At 36.5% G+C, this 19,824-nt stretch overlaps 1 protein-coding gene across 6 annotated transcripts in view; it reads right to left on the bottom strand.

Annotated features, from left to right (window-relative positions):
* The window catches only part of MOB1B (MOB kinase activator 1B), an 86,318-nt gene continuing 71,170 nt past the window's right edge, over nucleotides 4,677–19,824 (bottom strand). For 5 of the 6 annotated variants that reach the window (XM_011532412.3, XM_005265709.3, NM_001244766.2 and 2 more), the window contains 3 exons: nucleotides 17,559–17,692; nucleotides 13,554–13,717; nucleotides 4,677–10,865 (listed from right to left, as the gene is read on the bottom strand). In XM_011532412.3, the coding sequence (XP_011530714.1) occupies nucleotides 10,788–10,865; nucleotides 13,554–13,717; nucleotides 17,559–17,692 (376 nt within the window). In that variant the 3' untranslated portion in view covers nucleotides 4,677–10,787. Of the gene's footprint in view, nucleotides 10,866–13,553; nucleotides 13,718–16,095; nucleotides 17,693–19,824 lie in introns of those variants that run through there. The other variant, NM_001244767.2, reaches the window with a different exon arrangement.

Genomic DNA, 19,824 nt, shown 5'->3' with positions numbered 1-19,824 from the left:
AGGTAACAAAATGTACTGTATGTTGAATTTTTGAATGCCTACTCATGTGCCATGTACTCTGCTAGAATACTCATCTAGATGGGACAAATGCAGTGTAGGATTTGTCCCAGCTAGATGAGTGCATTTTTAGTCAGGGTAAAGACCTAATGAGGCAAGAGAATAGGGAATTAGGGTAACCAAGGGTTAAGGCATAAGCAAAAGAACAGCAGGTGCAGCAATTTCTAGGCAAGACTAGGCAGCATACAGGCCACACCTTCACTCCTGTGATTACAAGACAGAAGTTTCCACATCGCCTCTGATTGTCCTCGGCCATCTCCATTTCAGCCTCTGATTGGTCGCAGGCCAATCCTTCATAGGGTGCAACCAATTGGACGACTGTAAAGGGCACCTAGGGATTTACCAAATTCTTTTAGCCTAGTAACCCTTAAGAACACTGCAATTGGGACTCTTGAAGCACTTGGTTCGCTTCAATAAATTTGTGCTTTTGTTACTTCGTTCTTTTGTTGTTTTGTCTTTCGTTGCTTCTTTTGTTGCTTTGTTTCTACGTTTTGTTCAATTCTTTGTTCAACACGCCAAAAACCCAGACAACTCAGTCAAGACTTCCCATCCAGTAACACTAATAAACCGGATATTACCCAGTCTGGAAGTTATCTGGTCCAAATTGTCTACAGAAACCAAAGGCCTTGCTATTCTTTTTTACATTGCAACTATCATCAGACCTGAAATGCATCTAAATGTGTAGCCAGAAGGGGAAAACGGTGACTCCATCCTCAGAAATAAAGAGCAGAAATTAAAATGTGAATCCTCGGGGATCACATTTTCCAGGATTAAACAGCAAGAATCATTCTATGTAACTGCCCTATATTATTCTGTTATGCAATTATTTTGTATATATTACTTTTACTTATCCCTATAGTGATTAATAGCAAGATCCTAGGAATATAAGAGGCCTGAAGAGTTGTCATCAGGTATAGCAAGGAAGTTGGGAGAAAGGTGCTGCGGAAGCTAATAGGTATCACATTTCACAGCCAAGCTTGGGGGAAAACTCATGAAATGGTAAGAGTACTGGCAGCTACCGAGAGGAGGAAGGCAAGTCTCTTGAGACCTTCAACAGGAAAGCAGAGCTGGTCCTGGATGGATGTCATAAAGAGGCTTGGGGTTAAGGAGTAGAAATCTCCAAGTGTGGTTTCCACAAAAAAGACCCACACAAGAAGTATCTTACAATGATGAAGAGTTTAAGCACTGGAAAATGAAAGATTTCAAACACCAGTTCTACCAGTTTCTGGCTGCAAAAACTTGAATTCATCTGAGCTTAAGAGTATACTTTGAAAAATACAAATGTGGGAGGCCGAGGCAGGTGAATCGCTTGAGCCCAGGAGTTTGAGACTAGCCTGGGCAACATGGCAAAACTCTTGTCTCTACAAAAAATAGAAAAATTAGCCAGGCGCCTGTAGTCCCAACTATTTGGGAGGCTGAGGTGGGAGAATTACCGAAGCCAGGGAGTCAAGGCTGCAGTGAGCCAAGATCATGCCACTGTACTCCAGTGAGATCCTGTCTCAACTAACAACAACAAAGTAAATGGGGGAAGCAAAGAATCTAGCTTTTTTGGCATTAAGTCCAGCATAATTTCCCATTTTCCTACATGACCTGGGGGTAACACAAGGAGAGAACAGAGAAAAGCACTTTTCAAAACATCTTGATTTTTGGTCCACAATCTCTTATCTAAAACCCTGGCAGCCAGATGTTTCAGAATTTAAAACTTTTAGAAAAGATTTTTAGAAAAGAAATTCTAAACTTTGGAACTGGCTGGACGCAGTGGCTCTTGCCTATAATCCCAGCACTTTGGGAGGTACTCTGGAATGCTTGAGCTCAGGAATTCGAGACCAACCAGGGAAACATGGCGAAACTAATAGAAAAAATACAAAAATTAGCTGGTTGTGGTGGCACACACCTGTGGTCCCAGCTACTCAGGAGGCTGAGGTGGGAGGATGGTTTGGGCCTGCAAAGTTTTAGCTTTAGTAAGCTATGATCGCGCCACTGCATGCCAGCCTGAGTGACACAGCAGCAAGACCCCGTCTCAATAATAAAATTTGGAATCGAAACTTTAGAAACGATACAGTGCATATACTGTATATTAATTATTAAGTAAGCACCCCCACTCCCCCTGCAGAGGTGTTAAATCAAATGCACTAATATTTTGCAGTGAAACAAAGAGTGTTAACATGAAGTGGGATAAAGACTATTAACATCTGGTCAGAATAAGTTTGCACTGAATTCAAAAAAAATACCTTTGGGGCCAAGCACGGTGGCTCACGCCTGTAATCCCAACACTGTGGGAGGCCGAGATGGACAGATTACCTGAGTTCAGGAGTTCGAGACCAACCTGGCCAACATGGCGAAACCCTGTCTCTACTAAAGATACAAAAACTAGCCGGGCGTGGTGGTGTGTGCCTGTGGTCCCAGCTACTCGGGAGGCTGAAGCTGGAGAATCGCTTGCACCCGGGAGGCGGAAGTTGCATTAAGCCAAGATCATGCCACTGCACTCCAGCCTGGATGAGAGTGAGACCCCGTCTCAAAAAAACAAACAAAAAAATTTTGGTTTTCTGAGCTTTTCAGGTTTTGAAACTGCAGATAAGAGACAGGATACAGCGCACCCAGCCAGTCATGATCGTGCTGCCACCTAATCCTTTCTTACCAGAAATTTTACTACTCCTTCAATTTGGGAATTTTCTCCTGTGGGAATTCTAGTGTAACTAAAGAATGAGACAGCGTTCTGACTGACAACATACAGGTTTATTAGGAAAACTAAATCAACCCAGAAAATAATAAAAAGCAGAAAAAATAAGAGACCCTGAACATTAAGTAGTGGTTACACAGCCCATGAGTTTGTCTACACAAACTCAACTACTTCTGTAAAATGATATTTATCAACTTAATAAGCTTGGTTATAAATTTCCCCTTGTAATCTTCATTAGTGCCTAGAAAACGGGGTACAGAAGCCATCATAAATGCAAGAGTGGGAGTCAGTGTGCTTCCTGCAAATCTGAAATCTGAAAGCAAAATAACATACTAGAAGAGCATAGGAGCCATCAGATGTATACAGCTTAGCAAAGAAAGCTGTTTTACTACATGCTTGTGAAGTGGACTGAGGTCATCAAGAAAATGTGACACTGTATTCATCATGCTGTAACAGGAGCATGTACAATTTCTTAGTAAAACTTCTACTAAACATGGTTGTTTAAACCTTAGAGGAATAATTAATTAGAATCTTTGTGTTGCAAAATGCTCATTGCAGATGTTATATAAGGGATTAACAACTTATAATACATTTAGTACAACAGAGGTAAATGAACCTAATTATCAAAATGTAGGTAATTTTACAATATATATTTCTTTACACACAATAAATGAATAACAGAGTGTTTTTATTTTTTTATTTTTTGAGACGGAGTCTTGCTCTGTCGCCCAGGCTGGAGTGCAGTGGCACAGTCCGCCTCTCGGATTCAAGCAATTCTCCTGCCTCAGCCTCCCGAGTAACTGGGACAACAGGCAAGCGCCACCGTGCCCGGCTAATTTTTTAATGTATTTTTTAGTAGAGATGGGGTTTCCCCACATTGGCCAGGCAGGTCTCAACTCCTGAGCTCGTGATCCGCCCACCTCGGCCTCCCTAAGTGCTGGGATTACAGGCGTGAGCCACCGCGCCCGGCCCACAGGGCGTTTTTAAAGCATGCAGACACAGTCCACAACAGCATTGGCTAGCATTTCAACTAGTCTTTCTCCCAAATACCATTAGTGACTTTGAGCAACTGTGGCTACTACCATTAAATATTCTTAACCTGAAGATTCAAACACAAATGCCTCTAACATAAATACTTCTGATACTCTGAGAAGACTTCTAAAATACACGTTTTGGCCAGGCGCGATGGCTCACGCCTATAATCCCAGCACTTTGGGAAGCCAAAGCTCATGGGTCACCTTAGGTCAGGAGTTTTGAGACCAGCCTGGCCAACATGGTGAAACCCTGTCTCTACTAAAAATACAAAAAATTAGCCGGACATAGTGGCATATGCCTGTAATCCCAGCTACTTGGGAGGCTGAGGCAGGAGAATCACTTGAACCCAGGAGGTGGAAGTTGCAGTGAGCTGAGGTCGTGCCATTGCACTCCAGCCTGGGCAACAGAGCAAGACTCCGTCTCATAAATAAAATAAAATAAAATACACATTTCCTTTTGGAACTTGGTAAATGATTCTCCAATATTATTAATATTCCTTAATGATCTGTAATGAAGACAAAATATTAAATAATAGCTTGGTGAAGAGGTCAACAAATGATTATTACTGTGCTAACTGTTCTCACTGTAATAGTATATATTATAGAAAACATACACCTGCATACTGCAGAATAAAGAAAAAAGTGAAAAAAGTAAAACAGAAACACTGGTTTCAAGTTCAGACACAGTAGGGTTTTAAAACCGTAATCCAAATCAGTGACTTGTACAATTTCTGAGCTTTAGTTTTCTAAGATGTTAAGACACTGGTTGTTGTGAACATTACAGAAAATAGTGCCTAACAAATTTTAAATGTTCAACATATTCCATATGCCATCAATATTTCCCTTGGAATGTGTTTAGTGTGGGAATGCCTATAGCAAAAATAAACAGTAATGCAAAGTCAGGATTCATGGCCAAACGTAACTATTTATTCATTTTTTTCTTATAAACATTGAGTTTCTTCTTTAAAAAAAAAAAAACACCTAGAATTTAAATATTTCCCATCCCATCACATACAAGTCTGTATACATTATTTACATCTTTTGAATAAAACATATTACAGATTTTCTGACATCAGTATCCCTTTTTAAACAAAAATGAAGCAATTAAACTTTGATCAGTAACAACTACAATTTGCATAATCCGGCACAGTTTGTAATATAGCGCCTATGTTGGATTTCATAACTTAGATGATTTTTCCCCTTCTAGTTACTTGATTATAAGAGAGAAACTGTCTCCATGAGAGTAGTTCCCTGTCTTTATGCACTCTTCTCAATACTTGCACAGTGTAAATGCCGCCCTTATTCTTCCATTACTTGGCACTGACAATATTCCTCTGCTTTTGTCTTCAGAAATGATTTCTATTTGAACTTTAAGTGTTCTCATATATACTGTATTCTCCTTCAACCCAGATTTCATGACACTGTTCCTAGTGTTAATTCTATGCAGTAAAAGTTAAACCTATAGGAAAAGTTCAAATAAAACATCAAGTAAGTGTTTCCTACAAGATTAGTGCCCTCACCACCCTGGTTATGCATGTACAATAATAAATACAAGTTAGTAGCTCCAAAAAAACTACTTTCCCTAAAAAGTCATTTCTGTCGAACAATTTAAGGAGCAAAGCATCCTTAAAATGAAAATGCACTAATCTTTTTTACAACCTGCACAATTAAGTATTTCAGAAAAACAAAAACTTGTGCAAAATGGTAAGAAACGCCCACCTATACAAATTTAATATTAAATCAGATGAGAACATGAATTTATAAGTAAAAAACAATTTAATATTAATAATATATAGAGAAATTAAATATTGAAATTTTAACTTTGTATCACTAATAATCTCAGCTTCAGTGAAATAATTTAAAAAAAGCTGTCAAACACTAATTTCCTAAATAAACTGAAACCTATGAATTGACAGTAAATACTTCAGAATCTCTAACAATGAAGACCTGCAAAATCAGCCTAATTATTTTCCAGTGTGTGTGTACACGCACAGTGGAAAAACATACAGCTGGAAAAAGCCAGTGATTTTACTATCTACCTTTGAGAACTATAGCCCATATTTTTCAATTATTTAGTTCTATATGCAGAAAAAGTTATTACATTTGCAAAACTCATTTTTGTATTTTCTCTCTTTTGTCAAAATGTGAATCAGTTCAGCTACAAGTGACAGACATACAGTGCAGTTTTATACCTTCAAAATGGATTATTCTCTGTGATCAGCCTATTAGGAAAGCCTTAAAAATTCAGAATCAACTGTGGTCAGAATTTTTGTTACATCTTCAAATTAAACTTTTCCATTAAATCTTAAGATAGCTTTACTGCTAAACATTTATCATATCATACACAATTAAGGTGATAGCTGAACAACAGTGATTTCCACGGTAAATTTTAATATTACAACAAAACTCTGATATTTAAGTTATTTAAGAGTAGTCCTTAAAGTGTTTCTAAGAATTGGTATATATTCTTTAATTTTAAAATAAGCTTAAAGTATAAATCTGTGTTTTTAAGAATTGGTAGATTCTTTAATATCCCAGATAAATTTCAAAATAAGGTAAGTTTTCTTATTGGTATGCAGTCACATTTCCAAATTATAAATATATTTTTGGTCCCACATCTTTTAAAAAGACATTAAAAGTTATAAATATATGAAAAGGTTATACAATTCTAAATATTTTGTGATATGTAGGCTTAAAACTCAGCATAATTAGTATATGAAACTTATTCCTATTTCTTTGTACAAAAATCTCCAGTCTTTTATTAAAGTCAAATTGTTCATCTGAGTGAAAACATTTAAAAAAAAATGGCAGTAAAGGCTGTTGTCTCCTTAAACTACTTCTATCTTAAATATTGGATCCACTTTTCCATAGTATCCATTCAATCAATACTATCCTACAGTAGTTAAAATTAAATTGAGAAGTTTTCATGAAAAGGAACAAAAATAGAAAACAAGTTCTAGAGAAAGGACTTGGTTTTTTTCCATTAGTATATCTAACTAAGGTAATTAAGGTAAGGTAATTAAGCTGAATGTTTTTAAAAAGTAAAACCTCCACATCCAAGTGATAATTTCCACTTCAAAATAGTGACATCAGGAAACTATTCTTTTATTCAATTATGCTACCAATGCTTAAAACATTCTCTTGTGCAAATTCGGAAATCATGGCACATTCCTTTGAACTTCCCTAATGGTTTAGCTCCAGAGAACAGCCAAATTTAAATTACAGTTGAGCTGATGATTAAGATAGGTCATACTGGCTGGCTGTGGTGGCTCACACCTGTAATCCCAGCACTTTGGGAGGCTGGGGAGGGCGGATCACTTGAGGTCAGGAGTTTGAGACCAGCCTGGCCAATATGTTGAAACCCCATCTCTACTAAAAATATGAAAATTAGCCAGGTGTGGTGCTGCCTGTAATCCCAGCTACTTGGGAGGCTGAGGCAGGAGAAATGCTTGAACCCAGGAGGTGGAGGTTGCAGTGAGCTGAGATCATGCCATTGTACTCCAGCCCGGGCAACAGAGCAAGACTCCATCTTAAAGAAATAAAAATAAAAAAAATAAAAAAAATTTAAAAAGGTCATATTAAGCTGCCAAAAGTGTTTAGTGTAACTAAAATGATGAAACTGATTTTCCTGCATAATAACAAACTGCTTTTCATGGTATGCTCTAGAACAGTTCCAAAAACATTATACTTTTGCAGTATAGCTGGAATAAACAGTGCTCCCAAAAGAACCACTCTGAAGATGAACTCTTATTTGGATGTTAAGGCATGACTTATTCACCTTAAAAAGAAAGTTCTACAACTCAATATTTGTATCTCACATATTCTACCATTTCAGTGGTTATCAAAACCTGTCTCAGAGAGGGGTAAACAAAAGTATAAATGAAATGTTGTTTTGCTATTTTCCCATAAGCAAGGAAAATGCTAATATATAAAATGGAGTCTGGTGGTTATATATGTAATATATAAATATCCACATCATCTCTATTTCCTGATAAGAGACTGTAGTGTTTTATCCATCCTGATAAGACAGGCAGTAACTCAGTCTGAGATATATTATACATAAAACGTATCTTCTCCTACCTAATACATTTTATGGTGACCATTTAGAATTTACAAATGACTAACAGAGGGAAGGTAGAAAGAGACTGCAATTAAAAGTCTTCCAATTTAAGGTAAATTAACCTCCAAAACCTCTACCAGCAACTAACATGCTTGTTAATTTAGTGCAGTCTAATGCCATGGTTTTTAAGAGAAAGGGAATAATCAAGTCAGCAAATGAAAGCCAGTAGCACCATCTACTGCTAATTAAAATATTTTCACTCTTTTTGTTATTAATTTCTCTCTACCACCACTACTCCATCAATTAAAGTAATTCCAAAACATTGCTTCGTATCAACATTTAACCAAAAAAAGCATTGTGTGTGACAATAATACTATGTTAACTTACTACTTTATATTTTATGGGATGCTTTTATCAAAGGATAAGAAAACCAACTGTTGCTTTATAGCTACGTATTAATATAGAGAGCAAGGGGGAAAATAATTATCTTGGTTACTTACAAATTAATTAAAGAAATCCAAAAAGAATCCAACAGACATTTATCAGCAAACTCTGCTGCAGAACAAAGCACTGATCCTTATATTTAAAAGGGCATCTTACTAACTTTCATGGGAACCAACCAAATCAACCTTTTATTACATCAGTTCTTTCACTTTCTGATTTTTTCCTTACTTGTAGCCATGTAACACCATGTGCAATGCCAGGCCTCTCCCCTAGAGAACTGCTATGCTTTGTTACCATATATACACATATATACATCTCCTTACTTCCCAGTGACTGTGATTAAAGAAATACTCTAAGCAGGCACCTGAGATTCTGGCACAGTGAAAACAAACTATCTACATATAGTGGGAAAGTAGGTCTTACTACTAAAAACAAGTACAGTGTACTACTGTATAAGGCTTGAAAGGGCAAGATTAATTTTTCACTATTCTCTCTATACTTGGCTATTGCAACTCCTTTTTTACTAGATTGATATGAAGTCAAATACAATATGGAAGACTGAGTAATTCTGTGCTTCATTTTCCTATATGGACAAGATTCAAAATCACCTCACAAATTTTATTTCTGAATCAACCCATAATGATTCATATTATCTATCTGAATACAAAAAGATTTAAGGAAATTAACTAGCTCTGACTGCAGTTTATAAATAAGCTTTACCAATAAATGTCCAAGATATTTAACTCTGCCAGGCTTTCCTGTTACTTCTACTGTTGGTACTTGGTAAATAATTGCTAGAAATGAAGTGGAGAAAAAGGCAGTTTCTAGTCAACATAATTGTAATGGCATTAAATTGTATCACTGCTCTACTTTAATGGCAAAACAAATTCATTTAATTTTAGATTCTTTTCTACTGAGTGTTTTTAATCTATACTATTTCAGAGCAAGCATTTCTTCCTAGATGTGAAAAAGGTATATGTTTCAACTGAAGGAAGGATATATATTTCTAACTGAAGAAAGATTTATCGAAAATGACAAAACTAAAACTGGATTTCTAAAAAGGGTATTTTCTAGAATAAAACTGAAGTGGAAAAATTAATATTTATTCTAAAAACTAAGTTTCTGAAATTGTTATTTATGGTAATAATTCACTAGAAAGTCATGGCGAATAAAATTTAGAAGTTAATAACTACTGAATTAGCATTTTTCATTATCTAATACTGCTGCAAAGAAAAACATTTCCTTTCAGGGTGGAAAAACCAGAAGTCAGAATGCTTCAAACTGGACCTATAATAACCAAAGAAGGTATGGTATCATCTTAAAATGACAGGCAAACATCAGCTCCATTCACTGAATGGAAATGCTAAGAAGTGATCAATTTCCCCCAACAGTCCTTAAATTCCATGTTTAATGTCTGTACCTAAAATTAATAATTTATTTTTAACTTCTCATGGAAGTTGATTCCTAAAAGGAAGTCTCTAAGACTTTGTTTATAAGTAATTGATTAAAATCTTCATGCCATTCTATTCAAAGGTTTTCAGACAAAACTTTCTAGAACTTGACTCCCCATCCCTAACTCCTCATACATACGAACATCTCCATGCCCCCAGCCAAATATACATTCCTATCCCCTTCTCTTCAAAGTAGAAGGGAATTCTGCAGACTTACGGCTCATTTGGCAATTACTAGGAAACCTCACAGTTCAGCATCACCTCTGAAGATGGCAATCCTATATATAACCTGAATTTTTACATCTACAGTGCAGTTAACATGTAGAAAGAAGCCAAAATGTAATACATTTCAACATCCTCAAGTTTCAGTATCACAGATATCAAGAGGTGGGAAAAGACCTGCTTGTAGAGCTTTAAGCATTGTTGAACGTAATATATTACCATCAATATAAAAAATAATTAAGAAATATTTTTTATGTTCTACATGCATACCTTTACAAATTCTGTTTCTTCAAAGCAGTAAAGGCTGGAAATCACCATTTTAGGTAAACTATGGCTTTTATCATAGATATGTTACAACATGCACCAGTAAGTGCCCTGGGTAGTAATCCTAATATTGTTTCAAGCCCTGTTCAGTTCTATATCTATGTTTTGCACCTCAGAAGTGAGCCTGCCAAGGCACTTAAAAACATAACTCTTTTGGGGACTTCATAAATGGGCCACAATTTATACCACACAGAAACCAATCCATCGGCAGTTCAATCAACAAGCACTTTCTTGCAGCACACAATATTATTAAAAAACTCCTCAAGTAACCAAAACCAAGTTTAAAAACACTAAGATAAATTTACCCTTATCAAGTGTATAGAGAATGGTTCTTGGCTTCCCCTAGCAATAGAATATGGTTTCACATAATCAGAATAAAGAAAAAGGAACCCAAACAAGCCCCCGCCCCCAAACCTAGGACAAAAACAATCCAGATAAAAACAAAATATAACAAAATCCCCAATACACTCCACACTGCTTCATTTGAGGAACAATTTGCACAGCTCTGCATCCTTTTATCTGTCTTTTGAGGTGAGTTTTTCAATCAGTTCTTGGAGTGGTGCAAGTTCTCTTCTATCAATAAGGTTGAATTCCTATGCATGATATAAAGAAAGGCAGAATAAATAGCAAAAACATTATTTGCATCTTATTCCAAAGTAAATTACCATGAACATTTGTTGGAAATTAGCTTTTGAAGTACATAAAAGTAGATTATTTTTTTCTTGTTCACTAGGTCTGTGTCTTGGGTAAATCACTTAAGCACTCCTGATGTTATGCTTTTACATCTGTGACATTAGGATAAATCCCCCTATCTCATAAAATTATTGTGGGGACTAAATGTGATACTGGATGTTAACTACTTCATGTAATGCCTGACACAAAGTAACAATAAATGGAAGTTGCTGCTTCCTGTTGAAAGGAATGATCTGGACACCATTTAAATACAGTTAACCAAGTAGACATAGACACACACACAAAACACTAGCATCTCAGGCAAATTCAGCATTATATGAAAAGCCAAAACCTGGTTACAAACTAACGTATCTGCAAGCTATCAAAAGATATGGTAGGAAAATAACACGAATATGGCTGAATCCACAAATGATAAATTAAAGTCCTGTGAAGAACAAATGAGAAAGCCTGAATTTAATTTGTGCTCCTTTAGAAATTCCACCCGTCATTCTGAAGTTCACTTCTGAATAGATTTCCCCTGAACTATAAACTATAAGGCTAGTAAATAGAGGCTTGTCTACACTTCTGATCTTCTGCCATGGTAAGGCATTCTTAGTTTCAATTTAATTCATTTATTAGCATCTATCATATGCCAAGCACTACAGTTAAATACTGGAGAGAAGCATTAGAGGATATTTAATAACAGGACCAAGCCCAAGATTTGTAGAGTCTGGGCCAAAAACACAAATGGGTATATATCATATGACTAAATTACTAAATTTTATATTAAGCTAGAATGTTGTTAAGTAAAACATGCTCTATCCTCCTACCTTAACAAATATACTTTCACAGCGACCAGGAGAACAGATTCAAACTTAGAATTCTCCAGACTCCTCAGGATTCTGCACTGGAAAGTAGTGACATGAGGAAAGCCAGCCCCAGGTGCCTAGCCCTCAGAAAACCTCCCTGCTTTTCCAACCCCATCCACCCTGCACCTCAAGAGGTCTCACATACGAGTGTGGACACTTTGGGTAATGTCCACATGCCCTCAGAAACAGCTGCCATCAGCAAACTCTCAGGCCTAGAGGTATACATATCAGAGACGGGACCCGCCCTCAAAAGAATGGAGCCCAGAAAAAGATGCATGGAGACCCTGGAAATACATTTTGGACCATGTGGACAGAGAATTCTGGGTTTCAGGTACCCAAGCAAGCAACAGAAGGGATCTAGGTAGGCATATTCTTAGCCCTATGGATTCCTCACTCTGTGGGGAGGGGTGCAGGCAGCAGAAGGACCAGAGCAGGTATCTCTAAATTGTGGGGCCCAAGGCAGGTGCCCCCCTTACTTAATCAAACAGTGATACTGTATAATGGACCTACCTTTAAGAAGCTCACAGTGTCCTGAGATACAAACAGAATCAGATGTGGTAAATGCTATGTATCAATCCCTTGCTATTTGCTAGGAGTTGGGAAACACAGTGTAAGATCACTGAGTCCAGTAAAATTAACCCTTCTGGAGGGAGAATATACTCTCTTAAACCACCACAACCTGAACTTTAGCAATCATGTTCTGCCTAAACCAAACACAGATGCAAACTTTAGGACAACATTTTCTTTGTTCCTGAGTTCTGGACATGGGATACCACAGTAAAGTAACTGTTGAGAGCAACAGTTTTGGCAAGTTACAATCTCCTAAAGTATGTTTATATAGGTAAAATGTGTGCCTTCAGTGTGAGGAGTGTGTACAGGGGGAAGATGGATACAAATTTCTTAAGAGAACAGGGGAAGTGGCAAAGGCATTTATAAATATATGCCTGTAGATATACAAAAACAACACGAATTCAAGATGTTTAATTGTTTATTCTCCTGATGACCATCTCCCCTTCTCAACCTCCAACAACAATAATAGCAACAATAAAAAACTGGTCAGCTCTTTTATTTCCACCTCTTTTTCATTTTTGCCTGTTATTTCTCTTATTATTAGAGCATGGTGAGAATACTGTCACTGCTCTTAGTCTGCATTTCTAAGGCCAGTTATTTGAAGACTAAAAAAAGAGGAAGTTAACTAGGAAGTCAGACCAAAGACTAATGGCCCTCTGGCACAGAAACATTCTTTGTGACATATTTTTCCCTCAGACATGATGGATAGTCCTTAACTTAAAACTTATTTAGAATGTGGTTTTAAAAAAAACAAAAGGACAAAAAACAGATGTGATATTCAAAACCCATTCCTGCACCAGAGTCCGCTAATAAAGATCCAGGGCAGACTGCAGTAGGAGAAGTACTAAAATGCCCAGGAGAACCAGTTCATCCACAGATCTGCCAAACTAGTCAGATTCATTATCCAGTCCCTCCATATGGCCTGTTAACTGAAGCAAATCCAAGGCACAACTTTTCAAATCCATTTTAGACTTGCATACCATCAACTTGGAAACTAATAAAATTTAGAAACAAAAAGTCAGTCCTTATCATCATGGAAAACTGTAGAAGAGGATGCAGACTACAGAGATATGGCAAATTCCATCCTGACAGTGTGAATACAGTATTTACCTTAGAACTATGAAGATAAATGCTTACCCTGAGCACCAAAGGCCTCCTAATCCAACTTACCTGGACAAAAAAAATAAAGTGCTTGAAAGATGTATTTAGATGTGCTTCCTCCTGAAGCTGGATCACAGGGTCAAAATGCTGATGATAAATGTGAGCATAAACCCTAAAGAGGCGTTTGAGTATAGTTTTTGCCACAGACATGAAATTCTTTGGGAACGGGACACCTAGAAAAGAGATAAACAACTCCCTCTAGTAACAAGAGATGACAACAAGACAATGAGTTTGTCGGCAAAGGTCAACATAAATTACCAAGACAAGGCTGAAAAGAAGTAGCATTTATGAATTTATACATATACCCATTATACCTTTTCAGAAGTTCTCAACATGTCATGAATGAAAATAAACTTCAAAGTTTTTATGGTATAAGAATTAGTCTTCATTACAGCCTGTTATGTCTCTAACATACTACCACCACATTTCTAAAATGAAACACACACACACACACCCAAGATGGTAGTGGAGCTTAAACTCACACTCAGATCATCGGATTTCTTAAGTCTCAATACAAATATGTGCTGAACAGAAATAATGCATTAACCACCTTCAGTTTTGTTTAAAATGCTTGCAGTTTATATTGTACTTTTTTCTATGGGAATTACTTCATTACTACTCCAGGTCTACATTTGTCCTGAAATTAGCTGCATTCTCTATTCCATCGATTTGTAAATTACAGCACTTTTACAGCACTGAAATACAAAAGCAGAAAAATAGAAAATCCCTGTGGAGAAGAGGGAACTCTTATATACTGTTGGTGGGAACACAGATTGGTATGGCCACTATGGAAAACAGCATGGAGGTTCCTAAAGAATTAAAAATAGAATACCATATGACCCAGCAATCCGTCTTCTAGGCATATACCCAAAGGAAATGAAATAACCCAGTCGTAAAGGCATCTGCACTCCTATGTTCACTACAGCATTGTCCACAATAGCCAAGATATGGAAACAACCCAGGTGTCCATCAACAGATGAATGGATTTTTAAAACTGTGCTATATATACACAATGAAATATTATTCAGCTACAAAAAGAGATCTTGCAATTTGCCACAACATAGATGGACCTGGAGGATGTTATGCTAAGTGAAACAAGCCAGACACAAAAAGAAAAATATTGTATAACCTCACTTATATGTGGAATTTTTTTAAGTCAAATATACAGAGATAGAGAATAAAACAGTGACTACCAGGGGGAGTGGTGGAGCTAAGTGAAAGGACAGAAAGTAGCAGATACGTAAAATGAACAAGACTAAAGATCTAATGTACAACATGAGGACCATAGTTACAAATAGTGTACTTAGTGTACTGAAGCTGGGCAGTGACTCACACCTATTATCCCAATGCTTGGGAGGACAAGGTGGGAGTATCACTTGAGCCAGGAGTTCAAGACCAGCCTGGGCAACATAGTGGCTCCTTGCCTCTACAAAAAACTAGAAATTAGCTAGGTATGGTGGTGTATACCTGCGGCCCCAGTTACTTAGGAGGCTGAAGCGATAGGATTGCTTGAGCCCAGAAGATGAGGCTGCAGTGAGATGTGACTGTGCCACTGAACTCCAGCCTTGGCAACAGAGTGAGACCCTGTCTCAAAAAAAAAAATTTAAAAGAAGAATAGTATACTGTATTCAGGATTTTTGCTAAATGAGATTACAGCTGCTCTTACCACAAGGGGGAAAAAGGGTAACTATGTAAGATGATGGATATGTTAATCTGTTCCACTATAATAACCATTTTATTATGTATAATCTCATAACATCATATTGTATACCTTAAATATATACAATAAAATTTATTTTAAAAAATGTATAAAATCCCATATCCTTTGTTAAACTTACTAAATGATGCAGATTGGTAAAACAGCCAATATTGGTACTACTGGGTTCAATGTCATCATATTGCCATCATATTGCTATTGCTCATTTAAAATTATTATAGTTCACAAAGACACATAAGATAAACCAAAGTGAAAAGACAATCTATAAAATAATATGCACTCCTCAACAATATCGATGTCATGAAAAACCAAAAATGACTAAAGTGCACATTTCCAGATCAAAGGAGGCTAAAGAGACAACAAATAAAACAAATATAAAAGATTTCCTTTGCTTATAAAGTACATTATTAAGAAAACCTGAAAAGCCCAAATGAGATCTATATAGTATAGCATCAGTATAAATTTCCTAAGTTTGATATCTGTACTGATTTTTTTAAGGAAATACATATTAAAGTTTTTAAAGGCATCATATACGCAACTTACTCTCAAACAGTTTAGGAAAAGGAATGAATGAATGTATGTGTATGTGTGAAAGAGGCTCGGGAGAGGGAGAGGGAAGGAGGAAGATGTTAACGACTAAGAATCTGGATGAAGGGTTTGTATGATTCTTTTTACATTTCCTTGTATAAGTCTTGTAAATTTTCTAAATGTTTGAAATTGGATCAAAATAAAAATTTTACAACTGTATTATGAGAGAGAAGAGATAAGGTGGGGACACTCATCCAACCCTTATGATTGAGAGAGAGAGATATATATATATATATATATATGTAATTCAGTCTTGAAAAATTGCTCTTTTATTAAAAAAGTTCCAAGTGGTTAATGCATTCAATAAATATGTTTAAAGTACTCCATAACAACAACTATTTATATTGTTGTCACATTTTTTTTTCAAAAAAAATCGTAAAATGTCAAAAAGTTCTAACATTACAGGAGCAGATTCTTAGCTTTTTGAGACAATCAGTTGTCAGAAGTTTGAGAAGGCAAAAACATGACTATCTAAACGTAAACAATTTCTACTTGATAAGTCTGCCCTTAAAAGTAAATACAAAAAAGCAAAGTCACTCAGCCGATGATACAGCAACCCCTCAAATCTTGTTTTCTTCTCACATAGCTTAATATCTGAATCTGTAAGATTCATATTGTGGGTCATAAATTCAAACTCCCTTTTGATCACAAATATATTACTAAATAACACTGGATAGAAGCCATATGAACTTCCCTAAATAAGTAGATACAACTGTGGCAGATGTTATTAGCAATCTACTCAATATCCATTCTGTTTTTTGGGCCAGATTTTGTTACTATCCTAGATATACTGATCTCATCATTTAAAATTATAGAGAGGGTTCCCAGTACTTTGGGAGGCCGAGGTGGGTAGATCACTTGAGGTCAGGAGTTCGAGACCAGCCTGGCCAACATGGTGAAACCCTGTCTCTACTAAAAATGCAAAAAAATTAGCTGGGCGTGGTGGCACGCGTCTGTAGTCCCAGTTACTTAGGATGCTGAGGCAAGAGAATCACTTGAACCCGGGAGGTGGAGGCTGCAGTGAGCCAAGATCACGCCACTGCACTCCAGCCTGGGCAATACAGAGATACTCTTGTCTCCCAAAAAATGAAAAATTTAGATTAAAATAAATAAAATAAAATAGAGGGTTTACCTTAATGTTCATGATAAATTTGGTATGAAAAACATAGAACACCTGTAAGTGCATAAGATTAAAAATATATGTTATGTATGGTAATTTACCATGGTTCCTAGAATAGGAATAACCCTCCATCTAGAACTTTCTACTGAAAGGGCTTCTTAAGCCTTTCCCTTACTTCAGGGAAGTAAGTTTATTCTCAATGATGATCATAATTTTTTTAAAGTGTTAAAAAATGCTATCATTGTCTGAAAATAAACTCAGTGATACTTTAATCTAGAATATCATCAAAAATAATTACCTTAAGAGAGGGAGATCATTTATTTTCTAATAAACCTATACTTTCAGCTAATTAAGCATTTAAAAGCACTAAGTTAAAGGGGAAAAGCTCAATTCACACAGGATCACTTGCTTATTTTACCACTGGGTTAACAAACTTTTGTGCCTCTTCTTGGGAACTGCGTAACATATACATATATCAACACAGCCATAAAGAACTCTCCAACTAGATATAGTGGAAAGAGGGAGGAAAATTCTATAAACATATAAAAGATAAATCATGATGGATCCCCCTTACAAAAATTAATTATACCAATTTTTGATGGAAATAACGTCTCATCATCCAACTGGTCCTGAACCCAAGTCATCAAGTAATCAATATACTTTGGTGCAGAGCACTTAATAGGTTTCTTTATGTTCGTTCCATCTGCCCAATGATACTCATATCTGCATTGGAGAGATAAAAAGCACACAGAAGATTAGTATATACCTATACACAGTGTATATATTTTATGTATCTATATTACTAATGTACACACAGACATGTTTTCAACACTCTGCTCCTCCAAATAAAGATACATTTTTAAATACCCAGTGGACTACTTTGCGTTTATCACAATCCAAACTAAGTAGATCCCAACAAACTCATGTTTTGTTTCTATGCTCTCCTCACATGTCCATTTTTTTACATAGCCACCATAAATAGCATTTATATTTTAGAATCAGACATTATTGTAGTAGAAAAACTAGCTTACTTCCTAGTTCTATGATGACTACTTTTGGACTTTATGGTTGTTTTTCTTCCTTAAAAACCACTTCTCCTTACACAGTACAATTCTTTTTAACTTGGGGCTTTAAATTTTCGGTTAAGGATAGAGAATGACACAGAAGCACCAAAATAAGATTAATGAAGATGAGAATGATTTCATATTTGAGTACATTTAACTGAAGATCTAGACATGTCTTTAAAGAAGGTCCAAAGAAAATTTGCAACCCAAATAAAGGCTTTTGGTATTAGCAGAACACCACCATCCTTTGATTCAATAAACATCTAATATGCACCTTCCATGTAAAAGATACTAAGAACAAGAAACACTAAAATGAAAGACACTTTCCCTACTCTCAAGGAAAACAGGCTAGTAGAAAACGCAGACTCAAGAGTGAAGATGTAAAAACAGTGTAAGAACCCTAAAAGAGGCCGGGCACGGTGGCTCACACCTGTAATCCTAGCACTTCAGGAGGCCGAGGCACGTGGATCACTTGAGGTCAGGAGTTCGAGACCAGCCTGGCCAACATGGTGAAACCCCATCTCTACTAAAAATACAAAAATTAGCCAGAAATCGCTTGAACCAGGGAGGAGGAGGTTGCAGTGAGCCAAGATGGTGCCCATTCCAGCCTGAGCAACAGAGTGAGACTCCGTCTCAAAAAAAAAACCCTAAAAGAGTTACACACACACACATACCCTGAATTTTGAGATAAGGAAGATGCATACAGGTGAAACTCCAAAGTGGAAAAATCTCTAAACTGAACTAGCATTTAGTATTTTAGTTTCCAAAAGGTTACTCCTGCTGCTTAACTTCTCCCTTTGATTCAATTCTACCCTTGTCCCCAGAGTTTGGGCTAAATGACAGGTCAGTGAGCCTGGGAAAGGAGATGACAATATATAACAGAAAAATACTATAGGGTATTTTAAACAATAAAAATTATCTTCGGATAGGATAAATGAGGATGCTTTCTATTTAATCAGAACTACTTATACCTGAACAATAATACTAAACAAGCTATACCTGAATTAAACATTCTGTAGACAACCTTACTGCCAAAAGTGGGGCAATAAGGATGAAGTCCACTTTGAAGGTCTCCAAGTATGATACTTTCCAACACCTCTTGATATCCTGTTTTTACTGTTTAGTCACTTACTTTCCAACACCTCTTGATATTCTGTTTTTACTGTTTGATCACTTTCACAGTCAAAATCACTTTCACAATCAAAAGATTCTAATAAAACACTAAAGTTCTTAGTGCAATTTAAGCCTATTGTATCTCCTTGTTTGCTCCTCTTAGGAGCTAGAGACCGTGAATGGTAAGATTTTAGCCATCATTATGTTTTTTTTTTTTTTTTTTTTTTTTGAGACAGGGTCTTGCTCTGTAGCTTTGGCTGAAGTACAGTGGCACGAGCATAGCTCACCGCACCCTTGAACTCCTGGGCGCAAGCAATCCTCCCATCTTGGCCTCCCAAAGTGCCGAGATTACAGGTGTGAGCCACCATCCCCAGCCCATCATTATTCTTAAGAGACGGGCACAACCATGTTTACTACCTTATGTTAAGAAATCTTAACATTTTTAACCTTCCCTCACAATCAAGTTTTCATCTTGTCAATCATTTTCAGATGTGTCACATTCATATTTAAATGTAAAAATCAGAAACAGACAAGGTAAACCAAAGAATAATTTTCAATATCCTGAAGTATTTTTTAAAAATATTAACTTTCAATATCCTAAGGCTTTTTGAAAAATAAAATAATTAGGCCGGGCGTGGTGGCTCACGCCTGTAATGCCAGCACTTTGGGAGGCCGAGG

This window comes from Homo sapiens, chromosome 4, assembly GCF_000001405.40.
Source record: "Homo sapiens chromosome 4, GRCh38.p14 Primary Assembly".
Classification (NCBI taxonomy): Eukaryota; Metazoa; Chordata; class Mammalia; order Primates; family Hominidae; genus Homo; species Homo sapiens.
This window is presented reverse-complemented; position numbering and strand designations above follow the sequence as displayed.